At 43.7% G+C, this 18,642-nt stretch overlaps 1 protein-coding gene across 9 annotated transcripts in view, besides 4 other annotated features; it reads left to right on the plus strand.

The window, feature by feature from the left end:
- Nucleotides 1-525: an enhancer, noted in NCBI's record as "H3K27ac hESC enhancer chr12:133757799-133758323 (GRCh37/hg19 assembly coordinates)". NCBI's record gives its function as "activates a minimal SCP1, AML or CMV promoter by ChIP-STARR-seq in primed H9 embryonic stem cells {active_cell/tissue: H9 hESC(primed)}" and the evidence as "EXISTENCE:reporter gene assay evidence [ECO:0000049][PMID:30033119]".
- Nucleotides 1-670: a biological region, named in NCBI's record as "H3K27ac hESC enhancer GRCh37_chr12:133757799-133758323".
- Nucleotides 121-430: an enhancer, noted in NCBI's record as "active region_7401". NCBI's record gives its function as "activates an Ori minimal core promoter by ATAC-STARR-seq in GM12878 lymphoblastoid cells {active_cell/tissue: GM12878}" and the evidence as "EXISTENCE:reporter gene assay evidence [ECO:0000049][PMID:35858748]".
- Nucleotides 283-18,642, plus strand: part of ZNF268 (zinc finger protein 268) — a 33,338-nt gene continuing 14,978 nt past the window's right edge. Inside the window, exons 1-6 of one of the 9 annotated variants that reach the window (NM_152943.3) lie at nt 283-474; nt 734-818; nt 6,660-6,860; nt 10,277-10,403; nt 10,696-10,791; nt 12,216-12,321. In NM_152943.3, coding sequence (NP_694422.2) covers nt 786-818; nt 6,660-6,860; nt 10,277-10,403; nt 10,696-10,791; nt 12,216-12,321 — 563 coding nt within the window. In that variant the 5' untranslated portion in view covers nt 283-474; nt 734-785. Of the gene's footprint in view, nt 475-733; nt 819-6,652; nt 6,861-10,276; nt 10,404-10,695; nt 10,792-12,215; nt 12,322-18,642 lie in introns of all 9 variants that reach the window. The other 8 variants (NM_003415.3, NM_001165887.2, NM_001165882.3 and 5 more) reach the window with 8 other exon arrangements.
- Nucleotides 471-670: an enhancer, noted in NCBI's record as "active region_7402". NCBI's record gives its function as "activates an Ori minimal core promoter by ATAC-STARR-seq in GM12878 lymphoblastoid cells {active_cell/tissue: GM12878}" and the evidence as "EXISTENCE:reporter gene assay evidence [ECO:0000049][PMID:35858748]".

Genomic DNA, 18,642 nt, shown 5'->3' on the forward strand with positions numbered 1-18,642 from the left:
TTCAGTAAAGCAGGGACTAGAACACTTGTAACCTAATTTACATCCCTCCAACCGTTGAGCCATTGGTGTCAAGTATTTTAATTCTCTTTAAAATTTAAAACCTGCAAGCGCGGGAGCTCAGGGACCTGGCCAGGAAGGCCTGAGCTTCCGGGTCATCTTAGCACGCCCCCTCCCGGTGGCCCTTGGCCGGAGCCCTCCGGCGCGGGAGTAACTCCTCGCAGAGGCCTCTGGGAGTTGTAGTTTTTTTGCCTTTGCCTCTCCATGACGCAATTCCTGTGCGACATACGTAGCGGCCGCCATTGTTCCGCGCCGATGGCGAGATCCTTGTTCCTCAGATAGCGTTCATCGCCCGTCGTGGTCAACGGGCCAGCCGAGTCTGGAGTGGTTGCGAACCCTTCTGGCTGCAGATCTGGAGGTGGAGGCAGTACCCTGGACTCTATTCTGCTGCCCCTTCAGGGTTTGGAGGAGCCGGAGGTGCGGAATTCCTCCGGTTTCAAGGCGGCGGGACGGGACAGAACTAATCTGCCTTAGCTCTCTCCTGCTGCTGACCCGGGGCGGTTGCCTGACCCTAACCTGTGTGTTGGTGAGGGTGTGGAGATGGTGAATCCCGTGCTGTGGGAGGGAAGGAGCCTCAGCTCCGAGAATGGCAGGCAGCCCTGGTGCCTCGGACCCTCCCCCTCTGGGTTTGGGGACTGCTGGGTGACCTCTTTCTTCACTGTGCTCTCTCTTCTAGCATCCCTCGCGTCCTGTCACTTCCAGCGAGGCACACAAAACTGACCGTAGGGATGGCCACCAGGGTCCGGACAGCTTCTATTTGGGTGAGTAGGGGTTTTCTTTCATTCTTGAAAAGCTCTCCCTGAATGCCAACGTGTGCGCACTCCATCTACTCCAGTCTGAATTTGCCAGGAGCTTTCTCACCCCACCGCTCTTTTAGGCAACTGGATCGTCATTTATAGCATGTTAGACTTTCCAGAAATGCTTCTTGTCATCCGACTTCCTTTTTTCCTCCTTTCATCAATCTCTTTTCTAACAACTTTGTACGCTGAACTTTGGAGTTAAACAAGGGATACTCACACATCTTTCAGTTTTTTCAGCCTTTATTTACTGAGGGCCTTCTGTATCTGGGATCTTTAAACCTTATTTTGGAAATTACAAACTTTTTTATTCACTTGTTCAACATTTTTTTTTATTGTATTTTGTTTGCTGGACCCTGGGGCAGGTGCTAAAAATGCAAAGATGGGTTGCTTATCATCCCTGTCTTGAAGAACAGTGGTCTAGGAATGGTGGATAAGAAAGACAATGACAAGTTAATGAGTGCTCTGGGAGCAGGCTGTGGAAATACACGGAGACATGCAGGAATGGGTCAGTTTTGGAAGTAAGGACACCCCCTAACCCCTTACTCCCAAATGCTTCAATGATTAAGAGATTCTTAACCTTAGGTTTGAAAGATGACAAACCTAAAGTAGACAAAGGATTAAAACCAGCCTAGGAAAAAGAAGTAACGTGCAAATTTGAGAGGCTTGAAATGACCTCATGTGGTGAACTTTGGGCACTTTAGGGTTGCTAAAATGTTGAGTTTAATGGTGATAGTAGAGTTATATTAAAAAATGAGGCTAGAGCCGTAGGCCTAAGATCATAGAGGGCTTTGAGGACCCCATTAAAAACTTGGATTGTATCACATAGGGCAGGTGGTCCCCAACCCCCACGCTTCAGACTGGTACCAGTCTGTGGTCTGTTAGGAACTGGGGTGCATGGCAGGAGGCGAGTGGCGGTTTAGTGAGCATGACTGCCGGAGCCCCGCCTCCTATCAGAGGCTGCATTAGCTTTTCATAGCACAAACCCTATTGTGAACTGCGCATGCGAAAGATCTAGGTTGCGCACTTCTTATGGGACTCTAATGCCTGATGATCTGAAGTGGAACAGTTTCATCCAGAAGCCATCGCCGCACCCGACTGCCCGTCCATGGAAAAATTGTCCTCCACAAAACGAGTCCCTGGTTGGGGACTGTTGGTATAGGGGAAGGAGTTTACTTATTGAAGTGTTTTCACAACGGATTTGAGGGTAGAACAGTCTAGTCTGCAGCAGGTAAGAGAATATAAGGGTTTAAGTAAATTAGTGGTTTTGAGAAAGGAGAGGAGGTGGCTGGGTGCAGTGGCTCCCACCTGTAATCCCTGTTACTCGGGAGGCTGAGACAGGAGAATCGCTTGAACCCAGGAGGCAGAGGTTGCAGTCAGCCGAGATCGCGCCACTGCACTCCAGCCTGGGTGACAGAGCAAGACTCTGTCTCAAAAAAAAAAAAAGGAGAGGAGGTAAAGAGGCAGAAGAAATTAGATTTCATAACTAGTTGGGTGCAGTGCTAAGAGAGGCAGAAAAGCCAGGGATGACAACTGGAGTTCTACTCTGTGGGCCTGGTTGGGAGTGTCACCATTTGCTGAGTAAGGGAAGACTGTCAGAATTGTGATTGGTAGAGGGGGAAGATTTCAGTTTTGTATGGATTGGCTCCTCTAGGTAGAGGTTGCAAATTAGGTGTGGCCAAAGTAGCTCAGGGAGAATGTGTACCCTAAGAAGAGAACTGAGGACAGTGGTCAGGGAAATGACAAGAGAAAGCAGGGGAAGAGGTGTTGAAGACTGAGATGGAACCCAAGAAAAGTAAGACAAAATAGAGACATGTAATTCACACTTAAAGAAATGGAAACCTCAAAAATGCTTGTCAAGTGACATGTATGAGGGAGATCAAGTAATATTAGATCATTGTCTTAGTCTGTTTGTGCTACTGTAACAAAATATCACAGACTGAGGAACTTATAACAGATACTACTTTCTCACAATTCTGGAGGCTGACAAGTTGAAGATCAAGGTGCTGGTGAATTTGGTATCTGATGAGGCCTGCTTTCTTGTTTTCTTTTTTTTTTTGGAGACAGTCTCTCTCTGTCCCCAGGCTGGAGTGCGGTGGCGCGATCTTGGCTCACTGCAACCTCTGCCTCCCGGGTTCAAGTGATTCCCCTGCCTCAGCCTCCCAAATAGGACTACAGGCGTGTGCCACCACGCCCAGCTAATTTTTTTTTTGTATTTTTAGTAGAGACGTGGTTTCATTGTGTTGGCCACAATGACCTCGATCTCCTGACCTCATGATCCACCTGTCTCAGCCTCCCAAAGTGCTGGGATTACAGGCGTGAGCCACCGCACCCGGCTCTGCTCTCTGCTTTCAAGATGGCACTTTCTTGCTACATCCTTACATGGTGGAAGGGGGCAAAAAGGGAAGAATGCTGTGTCCTCACATGGCCAAAGAGATGAAAGGGCCAGGCAGCTCTCTGAAACCTCTTTAAGAGGGTATTAATCCCATTCCTGAAGGAGAGCCGTCATGACTTAATCACTATTAAAAGGCCGCACCTCTTTATTTATTTATTTATTTGTTTATTTTTTTGAGACTGAGTCTCGCTCTGTCTTCCAGGCTGGAGTGCAGTGGCTATCTCTGCTCACCACAACGTCTGCTTCCCGAGTTCAAGTGGTTCTCTTGCCTCAGCCTCCTGAGTAGCTGGGATTACAGGTGCGCACCACCATGCCCAGCTAATTGGCCCCACCTCTTAATACCATCACAATGGGGGTTAAGTTTCAACATGAATTTTGGAGGGATGCAATCATTGAAACCGTAGCAGTCATAAAAACCTAAATGGAATTTAGTGGTGATGGGCTGTGTGTGGTGGGTCACGCCTGTAGTCCCAGCACTTTGGGAGGCCAAGGTGGGCAGATCATCTGAGGTCAGGAGTTCGAGACCAGCCTGGCCAACATGGCGAAACCTCGTCTCTACTAAAAATATGAAAATTAGCTGGGCGTGATGGTGGGCACCTGTAATCCCAGCTACACGGGAGGCTGAGGCAGAAAAATCGCTTGAACCCCAGGAGTAGGAGGTTGCAGTGAGCCAAGATCACGCCACTGCACTCCAATCTGGCGACAGAGTGAGACTCTGTCTCAAAAAAAAAAAAAAAAACAAAGAATGTGTGGTGGCTACTTTAGCTTGGGTGCTCAGGGAAGGCCCCCACTGAGGAAGTGACGTCTAAGCTAAGTCTGAGTTACAATAGCAAGCCAGCCTTGGGAAGAGCAGGTAGAAGAACATCCAGGATGGGAACAGCCAGGGCCAAGGCTGCGAGGCAAGAGAAGTTTGATGCCTTGGTAACCTGGAAGGAAGGACTTTGTGACTGGGGTAGGGAGTGAGAGAGAGGAGAGCAGATGAACACAGGTGCAGAGGCCAGATCAGGGAGTGAGAGAGAGGAGAGCAGATGAACAGAGGTGCAGAGGCCAGATCAGGTAACCTGGAAGGAAGGACTTTGTGACTGGGGGTAGGGAGTGAGAGAGAGGAGAGCAGATGAACACAGGTGCAGAGGCCAGATCAGGCTGGGAAGCCATGGGGCCCGGGAGAGTGTGTGGCGCTAAGACAGGGAGCAACGTGAGCTGCTTAGGGTTTCCAAAGACCCTTCTGAGTGCTGAGTGGGGGACAGGTTGTAGGTGGGCAAGAGTAGGCACAGAAAGAGGGGGAAGCCAGAGACTGACTAGGTGACCACGTTCAGACAAGAGGTAGCAGGGATTTTGTGTAGTGTGGTAGAAATGGAGACACTGGTCAGAGTTGGGGGATGTTTGAAGGTGGAGTCCTCTTTTCTAAGAACCAGCATATGCTTTTTATCTTGTTGATTGTCATTTTGTAGTGTGGTTTATTTTCATTAAGTATTCCTGGTTTTATGTTTTGTTTTGTTTTCTTTTGCCGTTTCAACCAAATGTTAATGCTCAGTGTCTACTACGTATGAGGTTCTGTGCTAAATCATTTATTAGGTATTATCACCTTAAAACTTCACAGTAGCCCTAGCCCCAGGTGGTGAATACTGTTTTTCTCCTTTGATGGGTAAGGGTACTGAGGTCCAGAAAGGGCTAGTTGGAGACCAGGTGGCACCCCTGGTCAATGTAGAGCCAGGACTTGAACCCAGATATTCTGGCTCTACATGCATTTTCCTGGCCTGTGTACCTTATTTAGTCTCTGGATGTAGGTTGAGGATTTCTTGAGGCAGAGATTCTAGGATCCTAGACCCTGAAATGTAGAGTAAAATGTGGAGCGGGTAGACTGTGCCCAGTGTACACAGAGAAGGCTCTGAGACATAAGCTGTTGGTCTCCAGGGAATAATCTTTTTTTTTTTTTTTGGAGATGGAGTCTCACTCTGTTGCCCAGGCTGGAGTACAGTGGCACTCACTGCAACCTCTGCTTCCCAGGTTCAAGCAATTCTCCTGCCTCAGCCTCCCAAGTAGCTGGGGCTACAGGTGTACGCTGCCACGCCTGGCTGATTTTTTTTTTGTATTTTAGTAGAGACGGGGTTTTACTGTGTTGCCCAGGCTGGTCTCGAACTCCTGAGTTCAGGCAACTCACCTGCCTCGACCTCTCAAAGTTCTGGGATTACAGGCATGAGCCACTGCGCCCAGCCTCCAGGGAATAATCTTAATGTCCATTAATGGTGAATGATGAAACGTGATGGAATACTATTCACCAACAAAAAGAACAAACTATTGATATGTGCTATGACAAGCATAAACCTTGAAAGCATTATGCGAAGTGAAAGAAGCCAGACACAAAAGACTAGATATTATATGATCCCATTTATATGGCACACACATGCGTATACGTATACTTGCAATCCCACTTCTTTTTTGTAACACAAAAGCTAGCTTTCTGTACGTACTATTCTTCCCCTTGTCATTATCACTAAGAGTATATATTGATCATTGTATTATACCAATAGTGGTACATAGAGGTTGTTCGCTCCCTCTTCCCTATCTCTTATCACCTTTTACTGGCTGTATGGATGGCCCATAGTGTTTTCAACCAGTTATGTAGTTACAGATATTTGGGTTATAAAAATGCCTTGGTGAACAGCCTTTTCATGGCATTTCATTCATTGTTTCTTTTTCTAATTTTTTATTCCTTTTTTTTTAGGCTTTCCCCACTTTTCACCTGTGCCGCCTTCTAGGTCGTTGGCGCTTTTTTATGTTCCTCCTAAATTTAATCTTCATTTCTGAATTTTTTTCCTAATTTATTTATTTATTCTGATATTTCTCATTTCACATTTTCCAGATTTCACATTTCTAAGCATCTACTTTCTAGGCTCTTTTATTTTTTATATATCTGTCCTTTCAAAGTTTCGTTTTTCTGATTTCTTTTACTTCATTTTGAAATATTATGTTACAATTTTTTATGTGGTCAGATATTTTGGTTATGTTTTTATTGTCTGTCAGAGCCTCGTTTGGTTCCTTATTCCCTCATAATAATGTTGTGTGGGTATTCCTACTGCCCTACCAAACCAGCCTATTAAGACGCCATTTGGTTTGTGGCAGGAAGTCCGTTTGGAGGCTAGGATGAGCCAGGACAGTTTTCTCTAGCTTTGCTGTTTGAGGGTCGTACCTGTATTTTTATCATGAAGGGCTCAAAACTTGACTTGAACTCTTGGTGCTAAGCCTTGTCAGGAAGCCATTTCTTTTCTGCCTCTAACCCTGCATTTCCTGAAGTTAAACCTGCCTTGTTTTCTAACGTGTTTCTCTCACATTTATGTGATGTGACCCCTATTTCCTTTTCCCCAAAGGAAATAATGCTCGCTAAAGTAAATTTGCTCTTGAGTCCACAGGTCCCACCTCTCCAAGAACGAAACAGTTCATGGGATAGGATCAGAAAGCTCCAAGGTCAGGAATCCATCTTGGGCCAAGGGACTCCTGGTCTGCAACCTCTCCCTGGAACACCCAGGCAGAAGCAGAAGAGTCGCAGAATAGAGAAAGTCCTAGAGTGGCTGTTTATTTCCCAAGAGCAGCCAAAAATCACCAAGTCCTGGGTGAGCTTCTCATTTGTTTATTCCTAGTGTTTTCTTTATTACCTTTTTTTTTTTTGGTGCAGAGAGGGATGGAGATCCTTAGGTCAGAGGGTTAAGTTAATCACTCCTCAGTTCAGTTCAAAACCCCCCCACTTTTTTTTTTGAGACAGGGTCTTGGTCTGTTGCCCAGAGTGGAGCGCAGTGGTGCAATCATAACTCACTGCAGCCTCAAACTCCAGGCTCAAGTGATCCTCCAGCCTCAGCCTCTTGAGTAGCTGGGACAGCAGGCAAGTGCCACCATGCCTGGCTGATGTTTTTTATTTTTAGTAGAGAGGAGGTCTCCCTGTGTGGCTCAGGCTGGTCATCAACTCCTAAGCTCAAGCAGTCCTCCTGCCTCAGCCTCCTGAGGTGCTGGGATGACAGTCATGAGCCACTGTGCCTGGCCCATGGCCCTTTTATCATCATTGGTTCATGTAAGGTCCTTATCTACCTTTATTTATATATTCTCTTATTTCCTCATACTCAATTTTCATCTCCTTTCCCATCCCCAAAAAGTTATTTTGTGTTTTATGTGTATCCTTTTTTTTAAAAAATGTGTGTTTACGTAATATGTATTGTTCGGGAAGCTTGTTAGAAATGCAGAATATCAGAGTTCACCTCAATGCTGTTAATATCAGACTCTTCATTTTAATAAGATTCAGTGATTCATGCACATTAAAGTTTAAAACAAACTTACTATGAAGCCTATATTCAAATTTTTTCCTCGGGTGCTTCTTTTACTTCCAATATTGGCTTGCTTTTTTAGTCTCTTAATGCTTACTTTTGATGAACAGATATTTCTAACTTTTACTGAGTCTGGATTGCAAATTTTTTTATTTTATTGCTAATGATTTTTGTGTCCTATTGTTTTCTTATCCTAAGCTCATAAAGATCTTTTTCTTTATTACTTTATTACTTTACCTTTCACTTTTCGATTTACAGTGCCTTTGGGATTGAGTTCAAATCCATGAACACAGGATTCCCCCATTATTTAGATCTTTGATTTTTAAAAGTCAATGTTTATAGTTTTGAGCATACAGATCCTACACAGATATTTTAGATTTATATGTAAGTTCTTTCTGTTTTGTTGTTGCTGTTGTAAACAGTATCAGTGTCTTAATTCCTTTTTTTTTTTTTTTTTTGAGATGGAGTCTTGCTCTGTCACTCAGGCTGGAGTGCAGTGGCACAATCTGGGCTCACTGCAGCCTCTGCCTCCTGGGTTCAAGCAGTTCTCCTACCTCAGCCTCCCGAGTAGCTGGGACTACAGGTGCGCACTACCATACCCGGCTAATTTTTGTATTTGTAGTAGAGACAGGGTTTCACCATGTTGGCCAGGCTGGTTTCAAACTCCTGACCTCAAGTGATTCACCTGCCTCGGCCTCCTAAAATGCTGGGAATACAGGTGTGAGCCACGGCATCCAGCTAGTTTCTTAATTTCAAAATCAAATGATTTATTGCTGTTATATAGGCATATAGCCAACTTTTATGTATTGACCATGTATCCTGTGACCTTGCTACATTCACTAGTTAGTTCTAGGAACTTTCTTAGGTTTTTTGGTATTTTCTTCATAAACAGTCGTGTCATCTTCATCTTTTCGTTGGCATCCTCAGTTTCCTTACTCTCTCTGTAAAAAAGGACAGTTTTGTTTCTTTCCAATCTGTATGCTGTTAACTACAAATTTTATTTCTTTAATAGATATGTAATAATTAAGCTTATCTGTTTGTTTGTTTTTTTGAGACGGAGTCTCGCTCTGTCGCCTAGGCTGGAGCACAGTGGCACGACCTCGGCTCACTGTAACCTCTGCTTCCTGGGTTCAAGTGAGTCTCCTGCCTCAGCCTCCTGAGCAGCTAGGACTACAGGCATGTGCCACCATGCCCGGCTAATTTTTTTGTATTTTTAGTAGAGACGAAGTTTCACCATGTTAGCCAGGATGGTCTCGTTCTCCTGACTTTGTGATCTGCCCGCCTCGGCCTCCCAAAGTGCTAGGGTTACAGGCGTGAGCCATGGCGCCTGGCCCAAGTTTATCTGTTTTTGAGTAAGTTTGGTAATTTGCGTCTTCCAAGGAATATGTCCTTTTCAACTAACTTAACCAAATTTATGTGCGCAGAGCAGTTAGTCTTTTCTTGTCTGTGAATTCAGTAATGATAACTTCTTTTCATATCTGATGCTTGTCATGTGTGTCTTCTATTTTTGCTTTGACGTAAGTTTTCATTTGTATAAATACCTGGGGCATAGTTGCTGGATTATATGGTAAGACTGTTTAGATTTGTAAGAAGTTGCCAAACTGGCTTCCAAAGTGACTCTACCACTTTTCATTCCCACCAGCAATGAATAAGAGTTCCTATTGCTCCACATCCTCTCCAGCATTTGGTGGTCAGTTTTTTGGATTTTATCCATTCTAATAGGTGTGTAGTGGTGTCTTACTTTTGTCTGGATTTGCAATTCCCTAATGACATATGGTATTGAGCATGCTTTGTATGCTCATTTACCATCTGTATATTTTCATGTTTAGGTCTTTATCCCACAGAGTGGCTGCTACTTACAGCAGTTACCTTTTTAGTCCATAAAGTTTTAATGTGTCTTCTCTTCTGGGTACCAATAGTGCCCTTTCACAGATTTCACCTGACACTGTCAAATAGCATTGCTTCCTTCTTCCTTTGTGCCTACGTTGTAATCTGTGTTCTTTTTTCTTAGCTTCTTTGACTTTCAGTTGCATTTGCATATGTAACTGTTCTTCATTCTGCAGTGCTAAAAGCTTCTTGGTGGCAGGACTGTATTTCATTTATGTTTATATTCCTGGACATAGAGGTTGGTAACTGTATTGCAGATGTAGGAGTGATCAGTCGAACTTGTTTGCCTGACTGTCCTGCCTTTAGTACTGAAGGTCCCATATCTGAGCACTCTTGTATAGGTGGTTTCTAGGATAGCTTAAAACTGTAAAGAGGCCGGGCGCGGTGGCTCACGCCTGTAATCCTAGCACTTTGGGAGGCCGAGATGGGCAGATCACAAAGTCAGGAGATCGAGACCATCCTGGCTAACACAGTGAAACCCCGTCTCTACTAAAAATACAAAAAAATCAGCCGGACTTGGTGGTGGGTGCCTGTAGTCCCAGCTACTCGGGAGGCTGAGGCAGGAGAATGGCGTGAACCCAGGAGGTATACCTTGCAGTGAGCCAAGATCACACCACTGCACTCCATCCTGGGCAGCAGAGTGAGACTCTGTCTCAACAAAAAAAAAAAAAGAAAGAAAGATGACTGATTTAATGCACATTGATGGATGTTTTCAATACAATTTTTGTTCTCACAAAGTTAAACATAAATAATGGACACCCTAAACAGCTAGTTTTCCACAAACCTAGTAAAATAACTTGAAATTGGATGAGCATATTGTATTTCAGGGACCTTTGTCATTCATGGATGTGTTTGTGGATTTTACCTGGGAGGAGTGGCAGCTGCTAGACCCAGCACAGAAGTGCCTGTACAGGAGTGTGATGTTGGAGAACTATAGCAACCTGGTGTCCCTAGGTAAGTGCTGCCTCCCTGAGGAGGAGTGTGCTCGATCTCCAGGCTTCTTCTTGGTTGCTGAAAACTGGAGGGCTTCTATGAAATACTTAGTGATTTTGGACTTAGATTTTAAGGCCAGATTTTCTTAGTTCCCTATTGGCAGCAGAGTATGCCAGTTGAATGGTCTTTACTTTGCCAAATTGCAAAAAGGCAGCTTCATCATGCTACCTCCAAACCAAATCTTTCCCGTTCTTCAGAATCTCTGAATCTCAAGCTGTTTGTTCCAGGTTGTCTGTGATTTTTCTATTTATAGGGTACCAACACACCAAACCTGATATCATCTTCAAGTTGGAACAAGGAGAAGAGCTGTGTATGGTGCAGGCCCAAGTTCCAAATCAGACCTGTCCAAGTGAGTGATGGAGACAAATCTTTTCTTCTTTATTTAGAATTAGCATGAATTCCAATGTGATGTGCTCCTCTTGTTTGTACTTTGCCTCGTGTATTACCATGCACTTTTTTTTTTTTTTTTTTGAGACAGAGTTTCACTTTGTTGCCCAGGCTGGGGTGCAGTGGCGTGATCTCGGCTCGCTGCATCCTCTGCCTCCTGGGTTCAAGCAATTCTTCCGTGTCAGCCTCCTGAGTAGCTGGGGTTACAGTTGTGCGCCACCATGCCCGGCCAATTTTTGTATTTTTAGTAGAGATGGGGTTTTGCCGTGTTGGCCAGTCTAGTCTCGAACTCCTGACCTCAGGTGATCCGCCTGCCTTAGTCTCCTAAAGTGCTGGGATTACAGGCGTGAGCCAGCGTGCCCGGCCTTACCATCCACTCTTAATCTTCTCGTTGGCACCCTTATTTCCCTCCTTACTCTATCTTGGTGATAGACTCATTTCATTGTGCATTTTAGCAAGCCTTTCCTCTTTCCTTCACTTGATGTGACTCTCATGATCCTTCCCTTTCCTTTCTACATTTTGAAAATTACATTTAAATCCCTTACACATAAATTCAACAACCACAGTCCCATCTTCCTTCTTTTTGAAACCTGTTAGTAGATTCTACCCCTTTTGTGCTTCTCTATGCTAATGGATTTTTTTTTTTGAGACGGAGTCTCATTCTGTCGCCCAGGCTGGAGTGCAGGGGTGCAATCTCGGCTCACTGCAAGCTCTGCCTCCCGGGTCTCCTGCTTCAGCCTTCCAAGTAGCTGGGACTACAGGCACCTGCCACCACGCCCGGCTAATTTCTTGTATTTTTTGTAGATACAGGGTTTCACCACATTAGACAGGATGGTCTCGATCTCCTGACTTTGTGATCCGCCCACCTCGGCCTCCCAAAGTGCTAGGATTACAGGTGTCAGGCACCATGCCTGGCCTTGCTAATGGCTTTAACATTATCACTCTATACCTTCTGAGCACATTCCTTTGTCATGTGATAGTGTCCATGATCCTGCAGTGACACCTGTTGATCCTGCTCTTCTGCTGCATGACCGAGCACTTTTTCCCTTCATGTTCCACTGGGCTTCTCTTGCTCTTCTGAATCCAAGGGGTCTTTATTCTTCATTTCCCTCATATAGTGTAACTTTTAAAAGACTTACGCATTAGCTGAGCATGGTGGTGTGCACCTGTTGTCCCAGCTCCTTGGGAGGCTGAGGTGGGAGGATTGCTTGAGCCCATGAATTTGATGCTGCAGTGAACTATGGTTGTGCCACTAGACTCTGGCCTGGGTGATAGTGAGATCTCATCTCAAAAAAAGAAGACTTCTGTCTCAGTCTATTTGTGTTGCTGTAATAAAATACTATAGACTAGGTAATTTTATAAAGCACAGAAATTTATTTCTCACAGTTTTGAAGGCTGGAAAGTCCAAAGCCAAGGTGCTGGCAGGTTTGGTGTCTGGTGAGGGCCTGCTCTGTGCTTCCAAGATGACGCCTTGTTGCTGCATCCTCTGGAGGTGAGGAACACTGTGGGACAGAAAGAGGGGCAAAAAAGGCCTAAGATCATTCCCTCAAGCCCTTTTAGAAACGACTAATCCATTCATGAGGGCACAACTTAATCTTCTCTTAATACCACCACAATGGGGAGTAAGTTTCAACATGAGTTTTAGAGGGGACACATTCAAACCTTAATAACTTCCATTCGGAAGATTGAAGCTCTTTTCCTCTACTGGTAATTGATAGCCATACTGATCTTTTATCTGCCCTTTGGTCCTGGTTTTGATTGATTCACTGGCATCTCCCTCATACCACTCCCTGGCCTCGTTTTCAGAAACTGGAATCGTCTCTCCCACTGCTCCACCTACATACCACCTTCTTTTCATCTTTCTTCTCTTTGTTTATCCTGTTTTTTAAATTCTAAGTTTTTTTTCCTAACACTGGGGAAGTCAGCTTGAATTTCCTTTCTGTGCAGGGCTCCCTTACTAATTTTGGTACAGTGTTGTTAGCATTTTGTTCCTTTAAAAAGAGGTCTTTTAAAACCCTCATCGTCTCAATTCCCACTCAAAACGAGGCCAGTATTGTCATGTCTGGATTGTTGTATTTAGCTAAATTTATTCATTGTACTCTTTTTATATTAATTCATCTTCGATGTTACTGTCAGATATATTTCCCTGAATACCCCATTTATTCTATCACTAGCATGACAGCATAAATCAACAGTTAGTCCTTGCATTACTAGGATTGTTTCAGCTGCAGTTGTTGGTCAATCCCAGACCAACTAATTTAAGCAGAAGTGATTTATTATTACACATCACAAAAGGTCCTGAAGTGGGGCAGCTCCAGGATCAACTAAGTGATTGACTCACTCAATCGCCAAGGGCCCATCTAGGTATGTTGACATTTTCCTTAGGTTACCTTCTTTAATGGCCCTCAGATGGCTCTTGCAGTTCTAGTTGATGCCTGTGGATATACCAGTGGCCAATGAAATAAAAAGGGCTGTTTCTTCACACACGAGTCTGTCAGACAGGAAAACTCATCCCAGGAAGTCCCAAGCAGACTGATCATGTTCAACAGGCTAAATTTTTGTCACATGCCCCTGTCTGAGGGAGGCTCTGGAAAGGGAAATGGGGCTATCTCCGTTGGCTCAGATAAATTATGCTTTACCTTTTGGAAGCGGGACTGGGGATAGAAATGGGTCTTCACTTCCCTGACTGAAGCACATCACCTAGATGGGGGTGGAAAAAAATCAGGTTACTGCCAGCCAGGAACAGGGCAGAAGAACCACTGGGTAAGCAGCACTGTCTGCCTTCACCTTCCTTGGCCAGGCAGCACCTGTCACACCCTTCTTCCCAGCCATCCATCTTCAGATATTTGCTGCAACCCATATGTTGGTTCTTGTACTACATTAATACAAGTCTAGGATCCTGTTCCCATTCAGAGTGGGGAGTAGTTCTTTATGGTCTATAGACCTATAATTAAAGATAAATTAAACACATCCAGCCATCCAAATGTAGAGGGATAGAGACAAGTCTAGGGTCCCCCAGTTCCAGGAGGGCAGCAGCAGTGAACACCACATGGTAGCCACTGGTTTACACTGTTGGCCTTGTCACAATTTCTTTCTGTGGCAGTGAAATAAGTTACCTGGTGAACCTTTGTTTCTGCTCTCCAAGCATAATTTCCTTTTCCGTCATCATCTGTGATTAAACTCGAGATGGTCGTTGGGGAAATGGCTTTTCTGTAGCTTCAGAATCTCAATTCTCTTGGTGTATATTTGGGTTCCCAGTGATTGCCTTTGGACCACAGCCAGGAACCATATTTAATATGGTCTCGAATCATGTTTAAATAATCTTCAAGCTTAAGAATGCCTGATCATGTTCAACAGGCTAAATTTTTTACAGGAACCATGTGCCAGGTGCAGTGGCACATGTCTGTGATCCCAGCAGTTTGGGAGGCCAAGGTGGGAGGATCACTTGAGGCCAGGAGCTTAAGACCAGCTTGGGCAACATAGTGAGACCCCAGCTTTACCAAAAATTTTTAAAAATTAGGTGGTCATGATGACTGTTGCCAGTAGTCCCAGCTACTTGGGATGCTGAGGTTGGAAGATCAGTTGAGTCTGGGAGGTTGAAGATGCAGTGAGCAATGATTGCACCACTGCACTTGAATCTGGGTGACAGAGAGGGATCCTGTCTCTTTTTTTGTTTTTGTTTTTGTTTTTTTTTGAGACAGAGTCTCGCTCTGTTGCCTAGGCTGGAGTGCAGTGGTGCGATCTCGACTCACTGCAACCTCCACCTCCCAGGTTCAAGCGATTCTCCTGCCTCCCCCTTCCAAGTAGCTGGGATTACAGGTACGCGCTACCACACCTGGCTAATTTTTGTATTTTTAGACAGGGTTTCACCATGTTGATCAGGCTGGTCTCGAACTCCTGACCTCAGGTGATCCCGCCTCAGCCTCCCAAGGTGCTGGGATTACAGGCATGAACCACTATGCCCGGCCAACCCTGTCTCTTTAAAAAAAAAAAAAAAAAAGGCCAGGTGTGGTGGCTCATGCCTGTAATCCCAGCACTTTGGGAGGCTGAGGCAGGTGGATCACGAGGTCAAGAGATCAAGACTATCCTGGCCAACATGGTGAAACCCCATCTCTACTAAAAATACAAAAATTAGCTGGGCGTGGTGATGCATGCCTGTAATCCCAGCTACTCGGGAGGCTGAGGCAGGAGAATTGCTTGAACCTAGGGGGCGAAGATTGTAGTGAGCCGAGATCACACCACTGCACTCCAGCCTGGCGACAGAGTGAGACTCCATCTAAAAAAAAAAAAAAAAAAAAAGCCTGTCTTTTAGTTACTGGGTTTGGTATTCCCTGATTTTTTGAATTCTTTGAACTCTACCTTGAGGTGTCAAGTATAATCCTGTTTTTGCCATTATTGTTACAAAGAGCATGCTGTAGAGAAGACACATTAGATTTCCAATGACGAAAGCAGAGATACAGGAACCGAGCAAAGATAAGGATGGGTGTGTTACCAGCACCAGAAGGAATGGAAGGATAAAGTACAGGGTTTGATAGTTAGGATGGCTTCAGTATCCATGAACTATGAAAGTCTACCAAAAAAATAGTGACAGTCAAACACAGGAGCAAATCTGATTCTAGGGCACAGAGTAATTATTCACTGGCCTATTTTCATTTTGTTGGGGACAGTTTTTACTATAGGACCATTTAATAATATCACTCCTTCTCAAACCATTGTGAAAACCGAAAGTGCTCATATTTATTTGTTAGTGCATTAACGGAAGATAATGCCCCAGTGGGGAATTGATGTTTGGGGAGATAGAATTTGATGGTTGTATACAAAATGAATAAGAGGGATCAGATTTAATAGGAAAACTACCTGCAGTTTTTCACAGTAAACTTGGAGTGAGATGTTAAGATCCCCTGATCTGCTCTGCTTTCTTTTTTTTTTAATATTAATACCTTTAATAAATTTTATTTTCCAGATTTTCTATTCTCTAGATCCTTTCTTTTTTTTTTTTTTAAATATTATTATACTTTAAGTTTTAGAGTACATGTGCACAATGTCCAGGTTAGTTACATATGTGTACATGTGCCATGCTAGTGTGCTGCACCCACTAATTCGTCATCTAGCATTAGGTATATCTCCCAATGCTATCCCTCCCCCCTCCCCCCACCCCACAACAATCCCCAAAGTGTGATGTTCCCCTTCCTGTGTCCATGTGTTCTCATTGTTCAATTCCCACCTATGAGTGAGAATATGCGGTGTTTGGTTTTTTGTTCTTGCGATAGTTTACTGAGAATGATGATTTCCAATTTCATCCATGTCCCTACAAAGGACATGAACTCATCATTTTTTATGGCTGCATAGTATTCCATGGTGTATATGTGCCACATTTTCTTAATCCAGTCTATCATTGATGGACATTTGGGTTGGTTCCAAGTCTTTGCTATTGTGAATAGTGCTGCAATAAACATACGTGTGCATGTGTCTTTATAGCAGCATGATTTATAGTCCTTTGGGTATATACCCAGTAATGGGATGGTTGGGTCAAATGGTATTTCTAGTTCTAGATCCCTGAGGAATTGCCACACTGACTTCCACAATGGTTGAACTAGTTTACAGTCCCACCAACAGTGTAAAGGTGTTCCTGTTTCTCCACGTCCTCTCCAGCACCTGTTGTTTCCTGACTTTTTAATGATTGCCATCCTAACTGGTGTGAGATGGTATCTCATTGTGGTTTTGATTTGCATTTCTCTGATGGCCAGTGATGATGAGCATTTTTTCATGTGTTTTTTGGCTGCATAAATGTCTTCTTTTGAGAAGTGTCTGTTCATATCCTTTGCCCACTTTTTGATGGGGTTGTTTTTTTCTTGTAAATTTGTTTGAGTTCATTGTAGATTCTGGATATTAGCCCTTTGTCAGATGAGCAGGTTGTGAAAATTTTCTCCCATTCTGTAGGTTGCCTGTTCACTCTGATGGTAGTTTCTTTTGCTGTGCAGAAGCTCTTTAGTTTAATTAGATCCCATTTGTCAATTTTGGCTTTTGTTGCCATTGCTTTTGCTGTTCTAGACATGAAGTCCTTGCCCATGCCTATGTCCTGAATGGTAATGCCTGGGTTTTCTTCTAGGGTTTTTATGGTTTTAGGTCTAACGTTTAAGTCTTTAATCCATCTTGAATTGATTTTTGTATAAGGTGTAAGGAAGGGATCCAGTTTCAGCTTTCTACATATGGCTAGCCAGTTTTCCCAGCACCATTTATTAAATAGGGAATCCTTTCCCTATTGCTTGTTTTTGTCAGGTTTGTCAAAGATCAGATAGTTGTAGATATGCGGCATTATTTCTGAGGGCTCTGTTCTGTTCCATTGATCTATATCTCTGTTTTGGTACCAGTACCATGCTTTTTTGGTTACTGTAGCCTTGTAGTATAGTTTGAAGTCAGGTAGTGTGATGCCTCCAGCTTTGTTCTTTTGGCTTAGGATTGACTTGGCGATGCGGGCTCTTTTTTGGTTCCATATGAACTTTAAAGTAGTTTTTTTCAATTCTATGAAGAAAGTCATTGGTAGCTTGATGGGGATGGCATTAAATCTATAAATTACCTTGGGCAGTATGGCCATTTTCACGATATAGATTCTTCCTACCCATGAGCATGGAATGTTCTTCCATTTGTTTGTATCTTCTTTTATTTCATTGAGCAGTGGTTTGTACTTCTCCTTGAAGAGGTCCTTCACATCCCTTGTAAGTTGGATTCCTAGGTATTTTATTCTCTTTGAAGCAATTGTGAATGGGAGTTCACTCATGATTTGGCTCTCTGTTTGTCTGTTATTGGTGTATAAGAATGCTTGTGATTTTTGTACATTGATTTTGTATCCTGAGACTTTGCTGAAGTTGCTTATCAGCTTAAGGAGATTTTGGGCTGAGACAGTGGGGTTTTCTAGATATACAATCATGTCGTCTGCAAACAGGGACAATTTGACTTCCTCTTTTCCTAATTGAATACCCTTTATTTCCTTCTCCTGCCTAATTGCCCTGGCCAGAACTTCCAACACTGTGTTGAATAGGAGTGGTGAGAGAGAGCATCCCTGTCTTGTGCCAGTTTTCAAAGGGAATGCTTCTAGTTTTTGCCCATTCAGTATGATATTGGCTGTGGGTTTGTCATAGATAGCTCTTATTATTTTGAGACACGTCTCATCAATACCTAATTTATTGAGAGTTTTTAGCATGAAGGGTTGTTGAATTTTGTCAGAGGCCTTCTCTGCATCTATTGAGATAATCATGTGGTTTTTGTCTTTGGTTTTGTTTATATGCTGGATTACATGTATTGATTTGCATATATTGAACCAGCCTTGCATCCCAGGGATGAAGCCCACTTGATCATGGTGGATAAGCTTTTTGATGTGCTGCTGGATTCGGTTTGCCAGTATTTTATTGAGGATTTTTGCATCAATGTTCATCAAGGATATTGGTCTAAAATTCTCTTTTTTGGTTGTGTCTCTGCCCGGCTTTGGTATCAGGATGATGCTGGCCTCAGAAAATGAGTTAGGGAGGATTCCCTCTTTTTCTATTGATTGGAATAGTTTCAGAAGGAATAGTACCAGTTCCTCCTTGTACCTCTGGTAGAATTTGGCTGTGAATCCATCTGGTCCTGGACTCTTTTTGGTTGGTAAGCTATTGATTATTGCCACAATTTCAGAGCCTGTTATTGGTCTATTCAGAGAGTCAACTTCTTCCTGGTTTAGTCTTGGGAGGGTGTATGTGTCAGGGAATTTATCCATTTCTTTAGATTTTCTAGTTTATTTGCATAGAGGTGTTTGTAGCATTCTCTGATGGTAGTT

The sequence above is a fragment of the Homo sapiens genome, chromosome 12, assembly GCF_000001405.40.
Source record: "Homo sapiens chromosome 12, GRCh38.p14 Primary Assembly".
Lineage (NCBI taxonomy): Eukaryota > Metazoa > Chordata > Mammalia > Primates > Hominidae > Homo > Homo sapiens.